Below are 27,173 nucleotides of genomic sequence, written 5' to 3'. Positions count from 1 at the left end.
TTGGCAGTAGAACAGTTTTATAAGAATTGAGGCTAATTTCATAATCTTTAGCAATGCAGATATGTATCTTTAGTCTCATGAAGATTGTAATTCCTTGCCAAGGTGAGCACTTCAGGTACGTTTTAATTTTTTGACAAAATTAAAAAAAATAAATTTTTGGTTAAGAAAGCCTACAGGCCGGGCGCGGTGGCTCACGCCTGTAATCCCAGCACTTTGGGAGGCCGAGGCGGGTGGATCACGAGGTCAGGAGATCGAGACCATCCCGGCTAAAACGGTGAAACCCCGTCTCTACTAAAAATACAAAAAAATTAGCCGGGCGTAGTGGCGGGCGCCTGTAGTCCCAGCTACTTGGGAGGCTGAGGCAGGAGAATGGCGTGAACCCGGGAGGCGGAGCTTGCAGTGAGCCGAGATCCCGCCACCGCACTCCAGCCTGGGCGACAGAGCGAGACTCCATCTCCAAAAAAAAAAAAAAAAAAAAAAAAAAAAAGAAAGCCTACAATGGACACACAGATATAAATAAACAGTACTAGATTTTCATCACATAAATAATTTGAAGAAGAGCACGTTAGTAGAAAATTGTTATATTGAAATATTATTCCCTATTGAATATTTTAAAATTACTCCTTAAGAGGAGCATTTCATAGTGTAACCATTTTCAAGGGGAAAAACCTCCCACAAAATTCATGTTCAACTGACTCAAATAATAGTGTTAAATATTCATTCATTTTAATTCTACCATGAAAAAAGTTGGTCCCAGTGTAATGAACCACCACTATTTATTTATTTCAAATGCAATTTATTAAAAATGCATTCATCGCCTAAAGGCCTCTGGGAACACACATAAAAACACAAAAATACGTGAATTAAATAAATACATGAACAGCTCAACTCATTAAAAATAACAGGTTGAAAGAGTACCACATCAAAGAGAGATATTTTGTATCTTATGTATACACAATTTAATTATAATAGCTTGCTCACTGTCTGTCTCTACTGAAATTGATATAATTATTTTGTTTGATTTTGATGTTATTGGTTGAAGATGGCTGAGTAAGAACATTATTTAAGTAATGAAGCAACTATCAGCTAAGATCCAACAGAATAGCTATTAGGGAACTTTTCTGGTGCCCAAAAAGTGTTTCGGAGCCTTGTACAGAGCCACATTTAGATCACTTAACTATTTTCTTTGCACACAAGTATAATTCTTTCTCTTCTCTCTGCTCTCTGACTTTAGGTTCATGGTGGATTCTATTAACAGACTGAAAATATTCAGCATCTACACAAAGAGACAGATCTGTTCGTAGACAACGTAAGTGGAAGCCTCTTTCCTCTTTGCTTAAAGTTTCATAAGACTCTATCTGCCCCAAATATCTCCTTTGCTGGTTTAACCTGGCACTTGAATTTTCAGATGTCATCCTAAATACATGCTCACACACACAACTCACATACACAAACACACACACGAGAAAATATTTGAAACAAGTCACTATAGATTGTGTATATGACACAGGAGGGGAGGGGTGATGGTCAGCTGCCTTTTCTGTTGGCAGAATTGTACAGATGAATGTATTTGATTGTCTAGCTTTGTAATAATCAATATCTTGAGGAAACTTAACAGGTGGGTTTGGGTTGCGATGGTGGAAATGTGAAGAAACAGCCTTCAGCACTGTGTTGGGAGACTATAACAGAAAAGGGTGGGAGAAGGGACCTAAAGTAGAAAAAAAAGTGTATCAAAAGGAAAGAAAAGTAATCATTTCCCTACTTCTCAATTTTGCTTAAGGCTAACCCTGTTCTAATAACACATTGGTTTACTCATATATTTTTTACTGTGTCAAACTTTAAGCAAGAAAGATCACATTGTTATTATTTAAAAACCCTAATATCAATAGAACTTTAAAAAATTTTGATGGGCACCTGGGAACCTGACAGTAAACCATCTAGTTATTAGAGGTCTTTTCCTGCCCAGATGACTATCTGGGTCTAAAAGAGAAAGCTGCTCCCACTTGGATACGGTAAAGTCTAATATCACCCGACATGTACCAGGGAACAAAGGGGATAATGAAGGCAAGGCTTGATTTAGGACAATGGAATCAGGATCTCAGAGTTCTAAGAGTCCCTAGAAGGGCCTTAATGTCATTGATTTTAGGAATCTGTACTATGTTCGAATAATTTCACTAGCATCTCTAACCAAGTTGGCCTTCAGCATACACCTGAATACCTTGATGGTTGGTGAAACAGTAGGTGGTCAAGCAGCTAGCTCATCATGCCAAGATCCCCAGCTCATCTCTATGTTTCTTTTACTGCTTACCCTCCTGGTTTACTGTCCTATGCCAGGCCAATCTTTTTGCTGTTCCTCAAACATAACAAGCCTGAGGGGCCTTTGCACTTGCTCAGCCTTCTGCGTATGCCCCCATCTTTCTGTGCGTCTCCCTCTTTTCTTCATGTCTCTGTTCAAATGATATTCATTAGCAGCGTCCTCCTTGACTGCTCCAGCACTCTCACCCCGCTTATCTTCTGTTACTTTCTTCCAGAAGACATACTGTTACCGGGCATGTTGCATATTTAATTTTGTATTCCATTAATTTAGGACTTAATGTGTTGTCGGACAGCCACATCCCCAGTGCCTATATGGTTGCTAATTCATAGTCAGTGTTTAGTAAATATTTTTTGAATCAAAGATTGGAAGGTACCACCACCCAATTGTAGAAGCCAGAAACCTGGGTGCATTTATGTTTTGTCCTCTTTTTAAGGGCCTATATCAAATTAATTTTTAAAGCCCTACTGGTTATACCTCTAAGAGAGAAATCTATGTCCCCTTACTGCCACTTCTGTGATCAAAGCCCCATCATCTCCTGTCTAGATTAACACAACAGCTTCTAATTGACAGCAATGGCTTCCAACTTCCTGCTGCAGGTCTATCTCCTGTACATTTGTTTCTATAATGCAGCCGAAGGATGTCTCTAAAATACAAAAAGCACCATCCCCTTCCTTGCTTAAAATTTTGTAATGCTTCTCATTCCCCTTAGATAAAATCCAAACACTTTAGTGTTTCTTAGTTTTTTAAAAATCAGCAGCCTCATCTTTCTCTGAGATTTTCCATTCAAAGTACAGTCATATGCCACATACTGACTTTTCAGACTATGTATACAATGGTGGCCTCATACGATTATAATACTATATTTTTACTGTTCCTTTTCCGTGTTTAGATATCTTTAAATGCACAAATACTTACGATTGTGTTACAATTTCCCCAATTTTTCATTAGAGTCACATGCTACGCAGGTTTGTAACCTAGCAGCAAGAGGCTCTGCCATAGAGTGTAGCTGTGTAATAGCCATACCATCTAGGTTTACAGAAGTACACTCTTTGATGCTCACACTATGATCAAACCACCTAACCATGCATTTCTCAGAACATATCCCAATCCTTAGGCAACGTGTGGCTTTCTGATTAGACTCACTTTCTCTGAGCAGTCTTCACCAATCTCCCTGAACTATGTCAGCTAGTGCTACATTGTGTTTTCTTTCTTGTTGGACTTATCACATTACCTTATATTTTGCTATGGATTGGATATGGTCTGCTTGGCACCACTGAGACTCATGGTGAAATTTGATCCCCGGTGTTGAGAGTGGAGCCTGGTGGAAGACATGTGGGTCTTGGTTGGTGCCATTCTCGCTGGAGTGAGTGAGTTCTTTTTTAGTTCTCATGAGTACAGGTTGATAAAAAGAGCCTGGAACCTCCCACTTCTCTCATAGTTGCTACACATGCAGGCTGCCCTTCACTTTCCTACCAGGAGTGAAAGTTTCCTGAGACCTCACCAGACACAGATGCTGGCACCAAGCTTCTTGAGAGCCTGCAAGAACCATGAGCCAAATAAACCTCCTTTCTTTATAAATTACCCAGCCTCAGATATTTCTTTATAGCAACGTAAAACCGACTGAGATGTATTTGCTTTGTTAATTATTTCTTTGCTGCTAGTTCAATACTATACACACTCTGCCGTCAAAGAGCATGTCTGTCTGTTCATCATTGGACCACGAGAGCCCAGCATACAGTAAATACTCAATTCAATACAAATGTTTGAAAGAAGAAAGAAATTCAACCCTGAATCTCATAATGTCACCTTAATCTTGGACTGGACATTTTGATGTAGTTACAGAAATAGGATTTATTTGTCTGGGATTTCTTGATTTTGTCACTAGCAGTCTTGAAATGGTTGATGATGTCTGGGTGATAAAATGGTGTGGTCAAATAGATTGTATAAGCATTTGTTCACTTGGCATCTCTGTATTGAGAACCAACTATACATCGAGCACTTTTCTAGGTGCTAGAAGGGACTTCTAGAGATAAGTGGTGGGAACCAGACAGATAAGGTTCCTGCTTTCCAAGATTACACGGGGTAGTTAGAAAGACAGACAGTGAACAGGTATATATATAAATGGACAAGATCATTTCTGATAGCAACAGCGGCCTTAAAGAAATTAAAACAGGATTTTGTGATGGAGAGTAACTGGGAGGGAATATTTGCAGGTAGAATAGCCAGGGAAGGCTTTTTCTCCCTTAGGAGTAACTTTTTAAAAGAGTTTTAAATTTTTGTGGGTACACATTAGGTATACAAAAGACTAACTTTTGATCTGGGTGATAATATGGATCCAGACATGCAAATTTCTAGAAGGAAGAGTTTTCTTAGAAGAAGCCCTCAGTGGGCATAAGGTTTCTGTATTTCATGGACAGAAAAGGTGGTGCAATTGGAATCTGAGAGAAGAGGTGAGGGGCCAGATTATATACGGCTCTGTGGCTACTGTGAGTGAGAGTAATTTTATTTTAAGTTGAATGGGAAACCATTGGTGCACAGCCACCACTTATAAGACCAAAGTTCATCTACACAGAGTCCAATATATCTCAGAACTAAATAGTGATTCATGCAGCACACATACCTAATACTACTTCTGTGTAGTAAGTCACAAATCATTATAATTAGGAGGCTAGTGAAAATACTGCACTCTCTCCCTCCCTTTTATTTCTTTCTTTCTTTTCTTTTATTTAGTAAGCTCTGAAGTAAGTAGCCCTGGGGGGAGATCAAGTGATGAATAACCTCATTCAGCTCAAAGAAACAATAAAAAATCCCCAGTCGAATGGTTCACTGCAAATGGCAAAATAGTCATTGTTTAGTGGATAAGCTTTCCTCTCTTTAGTATCCAGGCAATGACTAATGATTTTCCTCCAAAGCTCCCACTTTTAAGAGAATGAATAAGCCCCAAAGGCCTCAGAGAGATAAGTATTACATTCCTCTTGGTAGCTCAGTTAGTGGCTGAGATGGAAAAAGAAACTGGACACTATTTCAAAGCCAAGATCTATAAACGTGATGGTAGATACTGTACTTCTGTACTCCTAAATCGTTTGGTACCCAAATGGTTTTTATGCCCTTCTATGTATTTTTCCACCTTATCCATAAACTCACTCATCTGAAGTGAGTTTGCTTAATATATGTTTCCGGGTGCCCTCCCATCAGTATAACTGCATTTCCTGTGCTTCCCAGAGGAAAACCACTCCTGTGGCCTGATCCACTGCTCAAAGAGTAATACGAAATTGGATGATGGGTGGCCATGTTGCATAAGTCACAGCTGGACCACACAGTTATTTATTTACATTGTCTTGTTTTCGAGACATAGCTTTCAAAAAACAACAACAAATTACTACAAAAAGTTACTTTAATTTCTAAAACACAAGAGCACATTGAATGCTAATATAAAGTTCAATGCATTAATTTCATTCTCTAATCTCTATTAGGAAAAATGTCATGGGTTAATATATTTGTGCCCTATTGAGAATTAAAGAGGAAACAAAATGGTTAGCATTTGTAACAAGGCCATGCATTATTATAGGAAGGCCATGCCAGGTCACGTATAATAGATAGGGCTACATTATTTTACACGGTAGCCAAAGGGGACTCAACTCAATGATGGGCAATGTTTGGAGAAATATTTGTTTTTGATGTGAAAAGGAAATAGAACTAGAGCATTCTGGTTGATGGGAACCATAAATAAGATTTTCCCACAAAGGCTTGGAAAGCAAAAATACTCTTTTCACAGGTCCTGTCGCCTCAAAGTTCAAGGACCGGGTGAAGAGATCGCAATATTTCGTGATGGTAGTGGAATACATTGCACAGATTTCATATGTTGACATTGGCTTTAGTGCTTGGGAGAAATAATCAGATAAAATTAATTACATATTGGTACTGAAGGTTTCACAGAAAGCTGCAGAGAGACTAAAATCCTAAATGGAGCAAACCTCCATATATTTTAATTCATCAGCTAAAAATTAAGATGGGTAATTCTTAAAATTAATCTGATTGACAAGTTTAGTGTGTGATGGCTTCCAAATCTATTTTGGGGAAACTAACGTGGTTTGAGATTTTTTAGAGGTGACAACTACAAACAAGCACCTTCAGCACAAAGATGAAAATTGAACATATTGTAATTATAACAATAAATATATATTAAAATTATCATTGGAAAATTTAAATAGTGTTTGGCATGTTATGAAACCCTTTACTACACATTATATAATAAAAGTCCTAGCAAATAAATGTAGCAAATTAACTAAAGAAAAACAGAAATAAAAACAGAAATAATCTGAAAACAGAAATAATCTAAAAAAATTAATTCATAAAATGGCCATTAACTATATAAAACATGTTAAATATCACCAGCAACCAAATGAATGATACCAAGTCTTTTTAAGAAAATAAATTGATAAAGATTAAGAAGAAGACTAAAGGTAGTACTGAGGTTGACAAGAATGTAAACATTTCTTATGGGGAGGATAATTCTAAACACCACTTACAGGCATTCAAATGTTGACTGCCTTTCTGGAGGAAAATTTGCCAATATCTATTCAGCAATTCAACATCTAATAATTAATCTTAAGAAATTAATGATAAAGAAATGCAAAGACATAGACACAAAGATCAGAATATTGCCTACAGTAATGAACATCTGTAAACAAGTGTCCAACAAGAAAGGATTTATTTAGACACCGATGTTACATTTGTAAAACAAAATACCACACAGCCATTGAAAATAATGCTGTATTTCGGTGGAAGTGAGTGGAGGTATGTCACCGTCAGTTCTTATGTTTTCCTCCAGGTAATTTAATTAGTAGGCACTCCTGGCTTCTCTCCATCTTGTCATATCTCCTTATCATGGAGAAATGACCGGCTTGGATTAGTAATTTTGGAAACAGGAAAAGAGTATAAAAGCCCTGTCTTTTCCTCTTGGGTGTCAGTTTTCCTACAGATAGCATTAGCTCTCTTTCACTCCTCCAATATTTGAAATTGTCCAGGCAAGACTCTTGTAGAGCAAAACTTACACCCGGCTAGGACCATCTATTGCCCGGTGGATATGCTGTTTAATTTGGGCTTCAGTATCAATAAGCCTCATTGCCTGCATTGATAAGACACCTCTTGCAACCTAGTCTTTTTCAGCATTAAAAATTACATTTCAACCCCAATCTGCCAACACTTTCATCATATATCACAGCTGTTTAGAACCTGGGTAAGAAAAAAAGTTCTTCTCAGTGGCTCCCTTAATACATCAACATAATATAACAGTATTTAAAGTGACAGAAGGGCTCACAACGTATTGCTAATTAGAAACAAACAGATATGAAGATCACAGAGTATAAGGGTTTATGCAAAATATTTTAACAGTATTTATATCTGCTTATAGATGGATAAATGCTTCTCATTTAATTTCTTGTGCTTAAGTTTGTGTGTGTTTTTAATGTTTCCTGCAATTAGATTTTGAAACTTTTCTAGTTAGATTTAGAATTTTACTTTGATAAGTTATTGCAGAATTCTATAATCTTCTTCCTAAGAGATTATTAATACACAGAAGAGAAATTTGCCCGTGTGAGATGATGGCCTTGATTCTACATGAAGACAAGGTAACAAGTTAGCAGGAGTCTCAAGTCTGTCCCAGAATTACGACGAGTCGCCATATATTTGATGAATCCTTGGTTGAAAGGACATCATTACTACCTTGTCAAATTGCTTTCTCTGAGTTTCAGCATAGGAAAACCGAGTATGTATGGAAACTTAACTGCCTGAAATATTCGTTACTCAACCAGAGCTGTGAGATGTTGTGGCCTCGTACTCAGATTTATCCAAGGCCTCTTCTCTTCGCATATGTGGCTGTTCAGAGGTTCAAATGAATGCTTCAGATTTCATAAAGCCATTCTTTAGAAATACAATTTGTTCATTAGCTACTTGAAAATACTTTAAATGTTTGCAGTTTTATTTCATAAATGTATGCATTAAATTTTGTAGTGTGTTCGTAACTTCAGACTAAAAACCCTTAGTAGCACCCCATGAAGACCTTTTCCCAACTCAGTCCAATGTAGCCCAGCTCTTCTGGGTAATAATCTCTCAGAAACATATATTTGTAAACGTGCACAGAACAAATTTAAATTTCAACAACTCTGGGTATGCACACGTCAAAAAGAAATTATGGGAATATAAAAGCATAATTAGCAAAGTTTAAAAACGGCACATTTAAAAATCTTTAAGCTTCCATACAACTGCCATATTTTATCATATAGTCAATCCAATTTCCCAACTTGAAAAATGTTTCCAGTTGCCCCTGTATGATTTCAGAAATTGCATTCATAATCCTAGTCCTGTGCTCTTCCAACATGTTTAGCTATGAAGAATAAACAGCAATTTAAATGCTTGTTTCCATAATATTCTTGCTTATAGAAATTGGAAATTTTACACTTTAAGAGACATAAACATATTGCATAACATTTACAACTTCCTTAAAAATATGAAGGAACTCTTCTGAGGCTTCTTATTAGAATAGTGGATTTGTGTATCAGTAGCCAATATCTAGTGCCTTTATCTGCTCCGGAAGGAGATCTGATGCCTTCTGTTGTTTACATTATATATGAGCTTTACCAATGCACAATTGCTCAAAGACAACTTTCATAAGAAATTTCAGCAAACACACAGGGTCCCTCTCCCCTTTGACAAAGAAAGTTTCTGGGCTAAAACATACCGCTGTGCAGTTTGTATGTAGCACAACTCCAGGGGCGACACTCCTAGATTAGGAGGTGAATGGAATCCCCAGGGTTGTTGACCACAGTGCTCCAGGCAGGGCCTTTGTGAGATATGAAAAGCTTGGCAACCCCTCAACTAGTCTTTCATATCTTTCCCTGGGCCCATCCCTCAGGCTTCCTTTCAGCTCTAGGGTTCTACGACTTTTCTTTTCCTCATTTTCAAGGCCAGGAGAGGGAGAGGTATGAAAACATCAAACTACCTGTGTTCAGGTATCCACATCTCCTTCTAACCGCATACAAGTTTTAAAAAATATAATGTACTACTAGAAAATTTGAGGTACAGTAAGGCCAACAGATCAGGAAATAGCTGCTATTGAAAAGATAGTTTGTTACCCACAGGTCCCTGGAAGAGGAGGCATGCCACACCATGGTGGGGGACATGTGAGAAGGTACTGGGGTCCCTCAAGAGGCAGAAGGGAGAGAGGAAACTGTAGGCAAAAGCCTTTGTTGTGGTTTCCATGGGAAGGAAGAGGAAGGACAGGGTAGGCAGGCCCCCTTTTGGTGAGTTTGCATAATTGCAGCAAGCTCTGGGGCATCTGTCCTTAGTTGTCTGGTGTTGGCTCTGGTGTGATGAGGGCAGGTGCATGGTGGCCCAGCGTGTGAGAGCCCAGTAAAGAAGGTGGCTGGTGGTGTGAACTCTGAATGCATTTATTTGTATTTGAAATTTGAAAGGCATGCCACAAGGAGGAACTGTTATTTCAAGGATGGGGAGTGATCAGGTAAGCAGGGGTTCACGGCGGGTGACTCAGGCATATTGGATTGTTGGATTGTCCAGAACAAGGACAGCATATGCATGTAGGACAAATGTTAAAGCATCAAATTTACTGAAGCTAGAAGCATGGTTAATATAACATCTAGGGAAGACATTCTTGGGGACCAGAATCACTCCTATCTCTTCTATATGTATACCCAGTGCTAGACTTCCATTCGAAAGGGCAGAAAGCTTACAGCACACAACTAGCAAAGCCCAAAGCCAGAAGAGCTAACTCTGGTTGTGAGGGGAACCAGACACACCCAGAAGAGTTCTGAACAACTTAAGAGTGGCTGATATTACCCAGTTAGTAACAGCACTATCAAGCCAGATCTAAACAACTATGAGTAGCTTTGTATAGTACTTAATAGTTCATATAGTCAGAGGAAGCAAAGACAAGAAGAAAAATGGAAACTGGCATGAATTGACTGTTGCTATTTATTGATTACCTTTTTCAGGGTAGTACATATTGTTCTTACAACTTTATCTCATTTTACCAAGAATTTAAATAAACCAACTATGTGAATTAAATAATAATGGAGGCAATAAAAGTTATTATAGAATAACGAAAAGAAAAAAATGTAAAGAAAAGGAAGAGGCAACATGTAGGGAAAAATGTTCCCTAAGTCAACAAGCAGTTATAAGGTCTTCCTGGCCTTAATCTAAGTCCCAAATGGTCAAAGGAAATAAGCTCTCTCATGTTTTTATTATGTTAAAATCCAGTGATCTGAAAAAAAAAATCCAGGCCGGGCGCGGTGGCTCACGCCTGTAATCCCAGCACTTTGGGAGGCTGAGGTGGGCGGATCATGAGGTCAGGAGATCGAGACCATCCTGGCTAACACGGGTGAAATCCCGTCTCTACTAAAAATACAAAAAAATTAGCTGGGCGTGGTGGCGGGCACCTGTAGTCCCAGCTACTCGGGAGGCTGAGGCAGGAGAACGGTGTGAACTCGGGAGGTGGAGCTTGCAGTGAGCCGACATCATGCCACTGCACTCCAGCCTGGGTGACAGAGCAAGACTCCATCTCAAAAAAAAAAAAAAAAAAAAAAAAAATCCAGACCTCCCTAAAATGATTCCCTTCCCATTGATGGGAATATGCCTATTTGTTCAATTTTTCTTTGTTGAAATACTCTTAGATTTTATGTCAATATACAATTAAAAGCGGATAGCAAAAAAGAAACAGTAACTCTCATTTTATTTCTGGATTAGATTTCAGCATGTGGGTTGATGTTTGAGGTGAAAAGAGTAATAAAACACAAGGACTATCATTCATCCTTGCTGAAAACAAGGCTAATCAGGGACCAATGTCTGGCAAATGAAAAAGACTGCCTGATTAATTTACATAGTCTCAGTATGTTCTAAAGGACGTTAAAACACCCAACACCTTCATAGTATCTCCCATTTTTATATCGAAATCCATTTAGGTAGATTATTCTTAAGAAACTTTAGTTAGCCAAGAAACGGATGGGGCTGGTGTAATTCCCCCTAACTGCACTCTCCCTCAGGTTGTTAATGACAAATGCATTATAGTTATTTATTACAAATAGATTAAAGATGTCAGTATGGTTCCATTCATAGTGATCTTATACTTTTAAAATTCATGGGGAATTGGGCTTCTTCCCAATGCTGACAATGCACATGATGGCTTTCTGGTGAACTAGATTTCTCAGGAGTACTTTTCTCTATGTTTATTACTTAAAAAAAAGAAAGTACCATCTGCTCTTGCCTCATAGTTGTTTAAATTGTTTAGAACCTCAGGTCATAATGAGAATAATCATGGTGCACTTCCCTACAGTTAATTTCTCTGCAAATAATTAGCTACACAGACTTTTCTTTTAGCCCTGCAATGGGTGACAATGAACACAAAATGACCTGTGGAAGCTACTTGTTTCTCAGGACTGATGAACACTTTAGACCCCTCTTAGTGATCTGATGTCGTACCAGAATGTGGTTATTATAATGTACCTCCGTGTCATAAATATGCATATGCTACACAAGTAAAATTCTTTATGATCAATTTATGCTACATTATGTTATACTTGCATATATACATATTCTACTTAATCTTTCTTGGGAAACAGTTTAAAACAAGGGACAGACATAAGTCAGATTCATTTTGTAAGAAATAATAGTCTTTAAAATATAATTTCATAGGCGTTATACAGACTATATAACATTCTCCTAAATAGCTAAATAATGCAAATAGTCAATAACAAACAGAAATATGTAAAATGTTATGTCAAACATTAAATGTATTATAACTGGCTTTTAGTCTGGAATCTATAAATATCCTGAAATTACAAAAATTTGGGGTAGTTATGTGTTTGTATATTTCTCTGAGAAGACTCCATCCATAGAATTTATCAAAGTTTTTAAACTGTTATTTAATGTCAAATAAAATAAATGCAATAAATTTTAATAAAATATTGTTATTTAATTATTCAACTATGCTAAAGTTTGTTTAAAATAAAGCACTGTTTAAACATAGCAGGTACATGAGAATAGATTCCTAGGACATCTGTCTTTTATAAAAGAATGGTAAACTGCAGGGGAACACAGGGAATTTAATAAAGGAAGATAGTTATAAGTGTTCAAACTGTTAGACAAATAGACTAAATGAAGCGAAAGCTAAACATTTGTTATGTGAATACTTCTCAGCAAGAAATCTGCATTGAGTTTGTAGCTGTGGCACAGTTTCATTTGATTCATATATTTAAAATAACAACAGGTTTAAGTATATCATGTTGTTTTTGAAGCGTTTCTGCACAGATATTAGGCTGATAACTCTAGCTGGCATCATTGCATATATACAAATGACTGCATATATGAAGAGACTGAACAGAAGCGGCTTATTTCCCCTTATTCAGAACACTTTGTTTCTGTGGCTGTTAAGTTTACTTTGGGCCCATCAGTTAAATGTTTATGTTGCCATATTCATATTCTTAACATTTTCACATTTGACAGGTTCTTTATTTATTAATGAGGAGAAAATTATACTATATCTCAGTACTCCACGTGAAGATGGATTTTACAGAATCATAAGTTATTTTTTTAGAGGAACAGATTTAATCATCTGCAAACAATAAGCTTACCTGAGGGCTGACTGGGGGACTAGGGTGAGGGATAGAGTATTGTACAGTTATCATGGCTTCCCTTTTCCTGATAACTATAAAACCAAATACCTTCAAGATAACCATATCAGATGCTTCAGGGAGAAAAATTGTAAATGAGAGAGGGCAGCTTAAGTCCCCATCTTAGTTAACCATATTCTTGTCCAGCTCTGAGCCGTGTATCATTTCCTGCTGTTCACCAACACAAGCAGAGAGGCCTTTCTTCTTTATTAAAACAGCTAAAGCATTTTATTGTTATTAATATTGTTGTTATTATTATTTATATTTTTTGTCCTCTAATATTCTCATCCAGTAAATCTTATTAAGAGAAGAAATTTGAACCCTTTAACCAGCAGTGGGCCTCTACCTACGGTCTAATGCGACCTGGTGGCATTGAACTTGGACGCAATAACCTGAGTAAGACTTCTAAGAAAAAGTACAGTTGACACTTGAACAATACAGATTTGAACCGCGTGGATCCATTTACAGATCGATTTCCTCCCAAGTCAGCAACCCCTCAGAAAGCAAGACCAGCCCCTCCTTTTCCTCCTCCTCCTCAGCTTACTCAACGTGAAGACAAAGACGATGAAGACCTTTATGAGGATCCACTTTCACTTAATAGTAAATCTATTTTCTCTTCCTCATCATTTTCTTAGTAACATTTTCTTTTTTCTAGCTTAAGAATGCAGTATATAATACATGCAACATATAAAATATGTGCTAATTGGCTGTTTATGTTGTAAGTAAGGCTTCTGGTCAACAGTAGGCTATTAATGGTCAAGTTTTGGAGGAGTCAACACTTATTAAGATACCTGGATTTTCAATTGTAGGGGGATCAATGCCCCTAAACCTCCATGTTGTTCAAGGGCCAACTGTAGTTTGAACTTTACATTTGAGAGAGGGTGTTTTCAGATAGAGATTTAAACAGACGCTTGAGTCACAAAATATGTTTCAAAATGTTATTTCAAACTACTTATAACTTTTGACAGCCAACAATTACATTTTGTTGAATCTTAAAGCCTAATGGTTCATTGATTTTTTTTTTAGTCCAGAGCATTTTCAAAACATGCTTCATTAAAAAAAAATAATAAATGTCCCTAGGGCAAGTAGTATGTATATAAAAAAAGAAGAAAGTAGGTCACAAGCAGAAAGGATATAGTTCTATCTGTTTTATATGTCTGCATTCCATAGAACCTTTCTCTTGATTAAAGGGTTTTGCGACCAATATTTTTAAGAACACTATTTCAAATCCCGCACGTGAGGCCAAAAAAGGCCAAACGATATTCCCCAAGCCACGCACCTAGGCAGTTATATTTTTGGGCCTAAGGCGTTTTGTTTAAATTGAAAATTTTTACTCACTCAACTAAAAAATGTTACACGAGCAGTTAATAGTTTATAATTCTAGTAACTTGGGCTGGACACAGTGGCTCATACCTGTAAAACCAGCTGCTGGGGAGGCTGAGGCAGGAGGATCATTTGAGGCTAGGAGTTTGAGACCAGCCTAGTCAACACAGTGAGACCCTGTCTTCACAAATATAAAAATAAAAGAAAATTAGCTGGGCATTGTGTTGCAGGCTGAAGTGGGAAGACTGCTTGAGCCCGTGAGGTCAAGGCTGCAGTGAGCCATGATAGCGCCACTGTACTCCAGCCTGGGTGACAGAGTGACAGAGTGACATCGTCTCAAAAAAAAAAAATATAATAACTTGTACCTATTACCCTATTCAAGTGCAAACTATTACATGCACAAAATCCACCAGGAGAAGAATGAAGAGAAAAATGAGACTTCTTTCAAACTCAGTGAATTTCACTCAACACTGGCTACAGATAGGCAGCTCTGGGTTTAGAGACTCTCCAGCTTTTTACTATCTCCCAGAGCTAGCCAGAAGGTCATTTATATAAACTAGTCAAATATTTGTTAGGTTCTCACTGAGTTTACAGAGCTTGATACTACAAAATGGAAGTAGCAGTGTGCTATATCTTAAGGAGAAAGAGAATGTTTAGAAAATAGAAAGAATTTAAAATACAGTTCATTGCCTGCTTTTAAATAATTTTATTGTTGTTCAACTGATATTCCTTTTAAGGTCTTTCACTACTTTAAGAATCCCATGAATACTTAAGAACCTGGAGAACATAATGTTAAGTAAAATAAGTCAGTCACAACAAGACAAATATCTCGTGATCACACGCAGGAAATCTGACAAAGTTGAATTCATAGAAGTAGAAACCAAAATGGTGATTATCAGGGGAGCGGTTGGGGAGATGTTGGTGAAAGAATATACAATTTCAATTAGAAAGAAGGAATAAGTTAAGCAATCTGTTGCACAACATGTATTCTTTAAAATTACTAAGAGTAAATTTTAAGTGTACTCAGCACAAAAAGTTGATAAATATGTGAGGTAATGCATGTAAATTAGCTGGATTTAGCCTTTCCACAATGGATGCATTTTTCAAAACAGCATGTTGTGCATGATAAATATATAACATTTCTATTTGTCAATTAAAAAAATAGGGAATCAACTATTTATGAAAATGTACTCTGCTTCCTGGTTGAGTTCTATGCCTTGCCCTCACCACAGCACCACTGTAATATGAAATAAATAAAACTTGTAAAAAAGAATCTCATAAATTCTGGAGCTTCTTTCCAGAAAAATGCCTGGCTGTACAGGTGCACAAGTTGTTTAACTTACTTGCAGTGGAAGTTCTTAGGTTAAGAACCACCGCTGTATGGTTTTAATAATCACCACCTCTGAGGAGACAGAACTCAAATCTTTGCTAGGCAATGACAACAAACAGTAAACATTATCTGAGCGCTATCCAGATGTTATGTACAATGTTAACTGCTTTGCACACATTCTCATTTAATATTTACAATAATCTTAAGGAAGTTCTATCATTGTCCCCATTATACAGAGAAGGAACCTTGGGTTAGAACATTTAAATAACTTGCCCAAGGTCAAAAAGCCAGTGCGTAGCAGAACAAGAACTTGAACCCGGGTCTGGTACTATCTGGTACCAACATGATCTTGAATCTAATGCATTTAAATATAATATGACTACTATTTAAATAATTCTATTTTTGTTAATACATGAAAACACCCAAAAAAACCCATCATTTGAGGACGGGTGGAGCAAGATGCTGAAACAGAAGTCTGCACCCTTTGTCCTCCCTGCTGGAACACCAAATTTTCACAACTATCTAGACACAGAAAAGCATTATCATGAACCAAAAATCAGGTGAGCAATTACAGTACCTAGTTTTAACTTCATATCACTAAAAGAGGCATTGGGGTGGGCAGGAGAGACAGTTTTGAATCTCCGACACCACCCCTGCCCCAGCGAATCTGTACACTTTGGGGAGGGAGAGTGCAGTGACTGGGGCACTTTATAATGAACTCAGTGCTGCCCTGTCACAGCCCAATAACAACGCCCTTCTGGGCTCAGCCAGTGCCCGTGCATGGAGAGAGCATTTGGACCAACCCTAGCCAGAGGAGAGTTGCTCATCTCAGCAGATGGAACTTGAGTTTCTCCGCAAGTCTTGTCTGCTGTAGGGTCCTAGGTAAACTTGAAAGGCAGTCTAGGACACAAAAACTTCAATTCCTTGGCAACTGCTAGTGCTGGACTAGGCTTAAAGCCAGTGGACTACAAGGGCACATGACCTGGGGAGACCTAGCTGGTATGGCTAAGGGGGGGCTTGTGCCTTCCCTCTCCCAGGCAGTGCAGCTCGCAGCAACAAAAGTGACTCTTCTGTATGTTTAAGGAGAGGGGAGTAAAGAGTAAAGAGTGCTTGGTCTTGCATCTTGGATACCACCTCAGCCACAGCAGGACTGGGCAGCAGACAGAGTCAGGAGGTCCCAGTTCCAGGTCCTCACTCCTGGAAGACATTTCTAGACACACCCTGGGCCAAAAGGGAATGTGCTGCCTTCAAGAGAAGAACCCAGTCCCAGCAAGATTTATCACCTGCTCACTAAAGAGCCCTTAGGCCCTGAATAACCAGCAGTGATACCCAGGTAGTACGCTGTGGTCCTTGGGATCTGAGGTGTGTTGACTTCATGGGTAACCCAGCACATTCCCAGCTGTGGTGGCTACGATAAAAGACTCCTTCTGTTTGAGAAAAGCAGAGGGAAAAGTAAAGGGGACTTTGTCTTGTACCTCAGGTACTTGCTAGGCCACAGTAGGGTAGAGAAAGAAGCAGGCTCTTGGGGTCCTGAGGTCCAGGCCTAGGCTATTAGACAGCATTTCTATGCCTGCTGTCATGTCCTCAGAAAATCTCATGTCGAATTGCAATCCCCAGTGTTGGAGGTGGGGCCTGATGGGAGGAGACTGGATCATGGGGGTGGAGTTCTCACCAATGAGTTAGCACCATCCCCCTGGCGCTGTTCTCATGATAGTGAGTGAGGGAGTTCCTGTAAGATCTGCTTGTTTAAAAGTGTGTGGCACCTCCCCCCGCTCTCTCTTCCTCCTGCTCTGGTCATGAAAGACGTGCCTGCTTCCCCTTCACCTTCCACCATGATTGTAAGTTTCCTGAGGCCTCTCCAGAAGTAGAAGCCACTATGCTTCCTATACGCCTACAGAACCCTAAGCTAATTAAACCTCCTTTCTCTACAAATTACCAAGTCTCTGGTATTTCTTTATGGCTTGTGAGGACAGACTAATACACCTGTTCTGGGGCAGAGTGGGGACCACTGCCCTGAAGGGTGAGTGCTAGGCCTGGCAGCATTCACCACAAGCTGACAAAAGAGACCTTGGGTTTAGGTGACCATTATCAGTGGCCTGGCAGAACCCCCATGGACTAATGGTGGTGGTGGCCACAGAAAGAGGCTCCTCTCCCTATGGAAAGGAGAGGGAAGCACAGGAAAAGCTTTGTATTATGGTATAAGTACCAGTTTAGCTGCAGTTGAAACATCAGGTAAACTGCTAAGATTTTTGACTCCAATCACTGGCTCCCAGACAGCATCTCTGAATATACCCAGGGCCTAGAGGAACTCACTGCCCTGAAGGGAAAACTCCTGGGCAAGACCCAGGGCTGTGCTGGCTTCACGTCCGACCCACCACAGTCCCAGGGTGGGGCCACACGGGTACTTGCATCATCATACTCCCAGCTCCAGGTTGCTCAGCACAGAGAGACAGAGACTCTGTATGTTTGGGAGAAAATAAGGGAAAAGAATAAGAGTCATCGTCTAGTAATCCAGAGAATTCTTCTGGATCTTATCTAAGACCACCAAGGCAGTACCTCTATGAGTCTGCAAAAACCATAGTGTTATGTGGCTTTGGGTGCAGTTCCCTTAGAATACCTGGAAAGCCTTCCAAAGAAGGGCAGGCACAAACAAGTCCAGACCATAAAGACTACATAAATACCTAACTCTTCAATGCCCAGAAACTGATGAACATCTACAAGCATCAACACCATCCAGGAAAATATGACTTCATCACACCAACTAAATAAGGCAACACGGGCCAATCATGGAGAAAACAGAGATACATGATTTTTCAGACAGAGAATTCAAAATAGCTGTTTTGAGGAAACTCAAAGAAATTCAACATAACACAGAGAAAGAATTCAGCATTCTATCAGATAAATTTAACAAAGAGATTGAAGTGATTAGAAAGAATCAACCAAAATTACAGAGTTGAAAAATGCAATTGATATGCTGAAGAATGTATCAGAGTCTCTAATAGCAGAATCGATCAAATAGTAGAATTAGCAAGCTTGAAGACAGGCTATTTAAAAATATACAGTCAGAAGAGACAAAAGAAAGAAGAATAAAAGCAGTGAAACACACCTACAAGATTTAGAAAATCGCCTCAAAAGGGCAAATCTAAAAGTTGCTGGCATTAAAGAAGAGGTAGCGAGAGAGATAGGGATAGATAGTTTATTCAAAGAGACATCAGAGAACTTCCCAAATCCAAAGAAAGATATCAGCATTCAAGCACAATAAGGTTATAGAACACCAACCAGATTTAACCCAAAGAAGACTACCTCAAGGCATTTAATAATCAAACTCCCAAAAGAGAAGGACAAAGAAAGAATTCTAAAATCAGCAAGAGAAAATAAACAAATAACATAAAATGGCACTCCAACGAGTCTGGTAGCAGACTTTTCAGTGGGAAACTTACAGACCAACAGAGAATGATATGACATATTTAAAGTGCTGAAGGGGGAAAAAAAATCCCACAAATTTTTAACTAGAATATATATTCACTGAAAATATCCTTCAAGCATAAAAGAGAAATAAAGATCTTCTCAGACAAACAAAATCTGAGGGATTCCATTAATACCAGACCTGTCCTACAAAAATGCTAAAGGGAGCTTTTCAATCTGAAAGAAAAGGATGTTAATGAGCAAAAAGAAATGATCTGAAGGTATAATGCTCACTGGTGATAGAAAGCACACAGAAAAATACAGAATAGTATAACAACACCATAATGGTGCTGTGTAAACTACTCTTGTCATGAGTAGAAAGACTAAATGATGAACCAATAAAAAATAATAACCACAACATCTTTTCAAGATGTAGACAGTACAAAAAGACATAAAGAGGAAAAACAAAAACATAAAAAGCAAGGGGATGAAGTATAGAGTTTTTTGTTTTTTTTTTAGTGTTCTTTTTGCATGTTTGGTTGTTTGTATATCCAATTAGTGTTAAGTTGTCATCAGTTTAAAATGTTGGGTTATAAAATAGTATTTGAAAGCCTCATGGTAACATCAAATCAAAACAACATACAATGGATACACAAAAAGTAAAAAGCAAGAAATTAAAGGCATACCACCAGAGAAAATTACTTTCACTAAAAGGTAGACAAGAAGGAAGCGAAGAGTGCCAAAAATCAGAAAACAACAAAATGGCAGGAGTAAGTCCCTATTTATCAAAAATAACAAATAGACTAAACTCTCCAACCAAGAGACACAGAGTGGCTGGGTGAGGGGACTCACGCCTGTAATCCTAGCACTTTGAGAGCCGGAGACGGATGGATTACCTGAGGTCAGGAGTTCAAGACCAGACTAGCCAACATGGCAAAGCTCTGTCTCTACTAAAAATACAAATATTAGCTAGCCGTTGTGGCACATGCCTGTAATCCCAGCTACTCGGGAAGCTGAGGCACGAGAATCGCTGGAACCTGGGAGGTGGAGGATGCAGTGAGCCAAGATCATGCCATTGCACTCCAGCCTGGGCAACAGAGCAAGACTCTCCATCTTGAAAAAAAATAAATAAATAAATAAAGACACAGAGTGGATGAATTGTTGAAAATTAAGACACAATTATCTGTTGCCTACAAGAAACACACTTCACCTATAAAAGCACACATAGACTGAAAATAAAGGGATGGAAAAAGATATTCCTTGTTAATGGAAACCAAAAAAAAAAAAGAGCAGGAGTAGCTATATTTATATCAGACAATATAGATTTCAAAACAAAAACTGGAAGAAGAGACAAAGAAGGTCATAATATAATGATAAAGTGGTCAATTCAGTAAAAGAATATAACAATTGTAAATATATATGCACCCAACACTGAAGCACCCAGAAAAATAAAGCAAATATTATTAGAGCTAAGGATAGAGATATACTTTAATACAATAATAGCTGGAGACTTCAACATCCCACTTTCAGCACTGGACAGATCTCCTAGACAGAAAATAAAGAAAAAAAACACCAGAATTAATCTGCACTATGGAACAAATGGATCTAATTGATAATTACAGAACATTCTATCCAACCATCCAACCGCTACAGAATATACATTCTTTTCCTCAGCACATGGATCATTCTCAAAAATAGATCATTTATCAGGTCACAAAATGAGTCTTAAAATATTCAAAAATATTTGATATAATATCAAGGATCTTCTTTAACCACAGTGGAATAAAACTACAAGTCAATAACAAGAGGAATTTTGGAAACTATAGAAACTAAACAATATGCTCCTGAATGACAAGTGGGCCAATGAAGAAATTAAGAAGGAAATTGAAAATTTTCTTGAAACAAATGATAATGAAAATATAACATACCAAAACCTATGAGATAGAAGCAGTACTAAGAGAAAAATTTATAGTTTTAAGTATCAAAATAAAAAAAGATGAAGAACTTTAAATAAACTAATAATGCATCTTAAAGAACTACAAAAGAGCAAACTGAAACCAAAAGTACACGAAAATAAATAAATTTGAAATGAAGAAAATACAAGAGGTCAATGAAATAATGAAAAGTTGGTGTTCTGAAATGTGTTTATCATTTCAATTCTGTTTATAATTGACACACCTTTAGCTAGACTAAGAAAAAAAGACAGACAACCCAAATAAAATCAGGGATGAAACAGGAGACATGACAGCTGACATCACAGAGATTCAAAGGACCATTAGTGGCTACTATGGACAGCTATATGCCAATAAATTGGAAAATATAGAAAAAAATGGATAAATTCCTTGACAAATATAACCTACAAAGATTTAACCACGAAGAAATCAAAAACTTAACTGACGGAAAACAAGTAACAAGATTGAAGCCATAGTAAAAAATTGTCCCAGTAAAGAAAAGCCTGGGATATAATGGCTTCCATGCTGAATTCTAACAAATATTTAAAGAACTCATACCAATCCTACTCAAACTATTCTGAAAAATAGACGAGGAGGCAATACTTCCAAACTCATTCTATGAGGTTAGTTTTACCCTGAGATGAAAACTACAGGCCAATATCTCAGATAAATATTGATGCAAAAATCCTCAACAAAATACCAGAATACCAAACTCAGCGATACATTAAAAAGATCATTCATCATAACCAAGTAAAATTTATTCCAGGTATGCAAGGATGATTCAACACATGCGAATCAATCAAGGTGATACATCATATCAACAGACTGAAAACTAAAAACCATATTATTAATCCGATTGCTGCCAAAAAAGCATTTTTTAAAGTTTAATATAACCTCATGATTAAAAAAACTCAAAAAACTGGATATAGAAGGAACATACCTCAACACAATAAAAGCCGTGTGTGATAGACCCACAACTAGTACCATACAGAATGGGGAAAAATTGAAAGTCTTTCCTCTGAGATCTGGAACACAGCAAGGCTGCCTGCTTTCACCAATATTATTCAACGTAGTACTGAAAGTTCTAGCTAGAGCAATGAAACAAAAGAAAAAAACAAAGTGCATCCAAATTGGAAAAGAATAAGTCCAATTATCCTTTTTTTTAAGATGGTATAATTTTATATTTCAAAAATCCTGAAGACTTCACAAAAAAACTATTAGAACTAATAAACAAATGCAGTAAATTTGCAGGATACAAAATCAACATACAAAAATCAATAGCATTTCTATATGCCAACAGTTAATCTAAAAGAGAAACAAAAAAAATCCCATTTAAATAGCCAAATATAAAATTAAATACCAAGGAATTAACTAAAGAAGTGAAAGATCTCTATAATGAAAACTATAAAATGCTGATGAAAGAAATTGAAGATACCAAAAAAATGGAAAGATATTCCATGTTAATGATTGGAAGAATCAATATTGTTAAAATGTCCATACTACCCAAAGCAATCTATAGATTCGATGTGATCCGTATCAAAATATCAATGACATTCTTCACAGAAAAAAAATCCTAAAATTTATATAGAACCGCAAAAGACAGAATAGCCAAAGCTGTCCTGAACAAAAAGAACAAAACTGGAGGAATCACATTACCTGACTTCAAATTGTACTACAGAGCTGTAGGAACCAAAATGGCATGGTACTGGCATAAAAAACAGACACATAGGTCAATGGAATAAGATAGAGAACCCAGAAACAAATCCACCCACCTACAGTGAACTCATTTTTGACAAAGGTGGTAAGAACATACACGGGGGAAAAGACAGCCTCTTCAATAAATGGTGCTGGAAAAACTGGATATCCATATCAGGAAGAATAAATCTAGACCCCTTTCTCTTGCCATATACAAAATTCACATCAAAATGGATTAAAGACTTAAATCTAAGAACTCACACTATGAAATTACTACAAGAAAACATTAGGGAACCTCTCCAGGACATTGGTCTTCAGAACTTCCTTATTTTTTATTCCTCATTCTTCTCTGGATAATCCACTTACCATCTCACCTGCTTTATCCATAAAGCTTCTGCATTCCTTCTTAGAATGTTCAACTTTTTGTAATAAAAATGATTATATCTTTGGGCTGGGTGTGGTGGCTGACGCCTGTAATCCCAGCACTTTGGGAGGCTGAGGCAGGCAGATCGCTTGAGGTCAGGAGTTCAAGACCAGCCCAGCCAATATAGTGAAATCCCGTCTCTACTCAAAATACAGCAACAACAAAAATAGCTGGGCATGGTGACACAAACATGTAGTCCCAGCTACTTGGGAGGCTGAGGCAGAAGAATCACTTGAACATGGGAGGCCGAGGTTGCAGTGAGCCGAGATGGAACCACTGCATTCTAGCCTGGGCAACAGAGTGATACTCTGTCTCAAAGAAAAAATGATTGTATCTTTAATGCTTGCTTTGTGTCAAGCTCCATGGTGATATTTTTAATGTTACTACCAAATCCACTTAGGTAATTTGTCATGACATAACCATATAACATATGATTATACCATAATAATTAGTCCATCTATGTCTTCTTGTGTTTCCTTCAGAGTACTGGTCATTATTCTGGACTGAAGAAATGAAGAACTAATCCCAACAGCACTAATACACTGGTTCATTGGCTCCCTTACCATCGATGTAGACACATTAGAAACTAGTGGATTGAAAGCAGAGTAACATTTCATTCAGCTGATATGCAACAAATATTGTAGTATGCAAACACTTTTTTCCCAGAATATCTTGATGTTACCATAATTTTATATTTTTAATGTAAGCCACATGGATGATAGGGTACATTCTTCCCAAATGCTATGGTTTGGATGTGTCCCCTCCAAAATTAATTAAGAGGTGGGAACTTTAGGAGGTTAGGCTGTGAGGGCTCTTCCCTCATCAATAAGGCCCTCATAAAAGAGGCTTCACACAGCATTCAGCTTGCTTTTCCTTCTGGCTCCTGCCATGTGAGAACACAGCAATCCAAGATACCAAACCTGTATGTGACTTGATCTTGAACTTCCCACCCCTGAGAACTGTGAGAAGATAACTCTCTGCTCTTACGAATTACATAATCTCAGATATTTGATTATATGAATTACATAATCTCAGATATTTGATTATAGCAGCACAAAAGGACTAAGACATTATTTCTATTAACTTCATAAGATCGAAACTACAGCAATAGAATATTGAAGGGAAATCTATGGTAAGCATTTCTTCAATTACAGAATGGGAAGGAGGAAAGGAGAAGTGAAATAATGCCTATGGAACACCTACCACCTGTGAGCCATTGGAATAAACTAGCTGGTTTACACATATCTTCTCATTGACTCTTACAACCAGTGAGACAGGGACGGTCCCTATACAACAGATGTGAAAATAGGGCTTGAAGAGGTGAGTGGTTGGCCCCCCAGTTCATGGGATAAACAGCAGAGCTTGCCGCTGATCAAGTACTGCATTTACAAGATGCAGGAAAACAGCATGGTAAGGATAAGACAGGGGCATCCAAATGTTGAGTCCCATCTCTCCCCTTAGTCATCTTTCTATCCACTTTTATACAATGGTGTCCTTGAAAAAAACTACTGTAAAATACCATACAAAGTGTTTATTTTCTAAGCCCTACGTATTTATTTTTCTTATACATTGTAAGTCAGATATTGGGTTTAAAGGTGTATATTTTAGGAGTTTTATTTGGAATCTCAGGTGACCAGCCAGATGAGGAGGGCTCAGATCTGTAATTACGCTTAACTAATTAGAAGTTAATAGGGCAAGAAAGTGCTGGTCTTTTGTTTACAAATCATTAACAGTGTGTTGGTAACAGATCAATTAATTATCTTTTAAAACATGTGCATTAAAGTTTACAACAACTTTAATAAAGTTATTTGCATTATAGAAACAATTTGAATCTGGATGACATTTATAGGTTACTTACTATTTGGTAATTAATAATGTCTTTAAGATAAAATTATACAATATAAGACTGAGAATTTAGTCTTAGATACAATTTAAAGCCCATTCCCTAACCATGTTGTAGATATGGTCTATTCTCCGTTACAGGTAAATTACCAGAAATTGTTTTTAATGATTCTGACTGTGGAAACTTGTACTTTATACAATGACAAATCCTATACTCCTGATGTTCTGAGTAAAGGGGAAAGGTTGATTGAGAGCAATTAATTCAGAGTTCACTGTCTAACCATGAACATTTTACCTCAATGGCAACTACAGGTAATTAATTCCACATCTGAGTGGAAAATTATAAAAGAAAACTCTATCGAAGTGAAGAGATGATAAATTACAAAGAACAACAACTGGGGTAGTGCTTTGATTTTCATACTTCATTTTGTAAAAGTGTAGAGAAGGCATTTCTTTCATATCATGTTTGTTCTCATTAAATCGAAGCTCTTAAAATGATTAACAATTTAGATCACATATAATTAATGATATAGATTTATTGTGGCAGTAAACACTTTAGGGAGCACTTCTTTGATAATTTAAGCTGAGAAGTTCATAAAAATGTGTATAATAGTATATACATATATAAACATGTTTGTGTACCTATATATATTTATATATATATATGTATAGATATAATGTATGTATACTTCTAAATATATGTAAGTTGTGTCTTATTTCCAAGAGCTTACTTCTCCTGTAAGGCTCTTTCTTGATGGACTCCATCAGCTCTGCTTCACCTAACTCCTCTTTACCCATCCTTCAGATTTCAGTCCAAGCAACATTTTTATTAAAAGAGAACTTGCATTTTACCAAATGCCTCAAACATTTACTAAATAATTCAATAGACACTTACTCCTGAGCTTTAACAGAACAGTTTGTGATATCTGCTTGTCTTTTTAATATAAATTTTCAAATAGATATGTTCACACTATGTCTTCCTTTCTCTTTCCTTCTTCCCCAGAAGCAGACCCACCCAAACATTGTGATCCATCATTACCAGACATGTTTTTTTTTCCTCTTGTCCATGTAGGATCTGTGAATAATAGATATTATCTTTGTGGGTTGCTTTTGAAATTTTTACATAAGCATTACCACGACATATGTATGGTTATACCCTTATACAGAACTTATTTCCCTTTAAAGAACTTACAACATTTTGTAATTCTATACTTGTTTGAGTACTTATTTATGTGACCAGAGTATGTTTTTTGAAGGTCGTGACCATATTCATTTTGCTTATTAATTATTAATTGTTGAAAGTATTTTAACTAAAAGAAATGTTATTGGGGAAGAAAGGGGTCCTTAGATTAATGACGCATGGATTATTTGAAGTCACACTCAAACAGAATAAGCTGAATAGTAGTGTTTGGGAAGACAATCCTGCTTGTTTAAGTCTTTGGCATTTTTCTTTCAATAGCATTTATTAATCACTCATCCTATGCCTTGACATTTTGTCAAGTAATGTTGAGGCCAAAGTAAAAGGCATATTTTCTGCTCTCAAGTAAACAACATTTTCCAAGAGCAATTAGGTGTTCATCTTTGAAACCAACATATTTGGTAGACTTTAGTTAAAATTTAACATCTTCCTTATTATTTATTAAATTGGGCATAGCCCAGGTCTACGTATAAGCCCACAGTAGGTATTTAAAAAGTGATGCATGATGATAAACTACAAATCTTAATCAGTAATTTCAAAAGCATTCCTATATAGTTGCTCACTTCATTACCTGTCTTTGTTTTCAAATCTTTGGGTGACTAACCATCAATGTTACTTTTAGGGATATTTGCCTGTAAGTGACTGAAAGCCTTCCAAATATAATGATGATCCATAGCCCCTAAAGCAGAAAGTTGGTTCAAGATCATGTCCTGCATAGATGTGCAACTGGATATATATGCAGAATGGCAGGAAATCAAACAAATGAATGAGAATGCTTATATTTATGTGTTTTCCCTATAATAAGCTTTTGAAATGAAAATGTACATCAGATTTGTCCATCTGCATAATGAAGGGGAAAATTTAATCTAATTACATTGTAGCTAAATATTGACACCTAATGCAATATTTTTAGTTTTTCAATATTTTACTTTAAAAGATAGTTTCCATAAACATAATATATTAAACCAGAAAAAAGCAATTCTCTCCAAAAATAATTTAGCATTT

General features: G+C 37.1%; 1 long non-coding RNA gene across 1 annotated transcript; it reads left to right on the top strand.

The window, feature by feature from the left end:
- The first annotated feature begins 14 nt into the window (after positions 1 to 14).
- Positions 15 to 13,372, top strand: LOC105377568 (uncharacterized). The gene is made up of 3 exons (XR_001741481.2): positions 15 to 102; positions 1,235 to 1,309; positions 13,292 to 13,372. It is a non-coding gene; the product is annotated as an uncharacterized LOC105377568 (long non-coding RNA).
- Positions 13,373 to 27,173: the final 13,801 nt, after the last annotated feature.

Source organism: Homo sapiens, chromosome 4, assembly GCF_000001405.40.
Source record: "Homo sapiens chromosome 4, GRCh38.p14 Primary Assembly".
Lineage (NCBI taxonomy): Eukaryota > Metazoa > Chordata > Mammalia > Primates > Hominidae > Homo > Homo sapiens.
The sequence above is the reverse complement of the archived record's forward strand: the minus strand, read 5'-3'. Positions and strand labels throughout refer to the sequence as shown.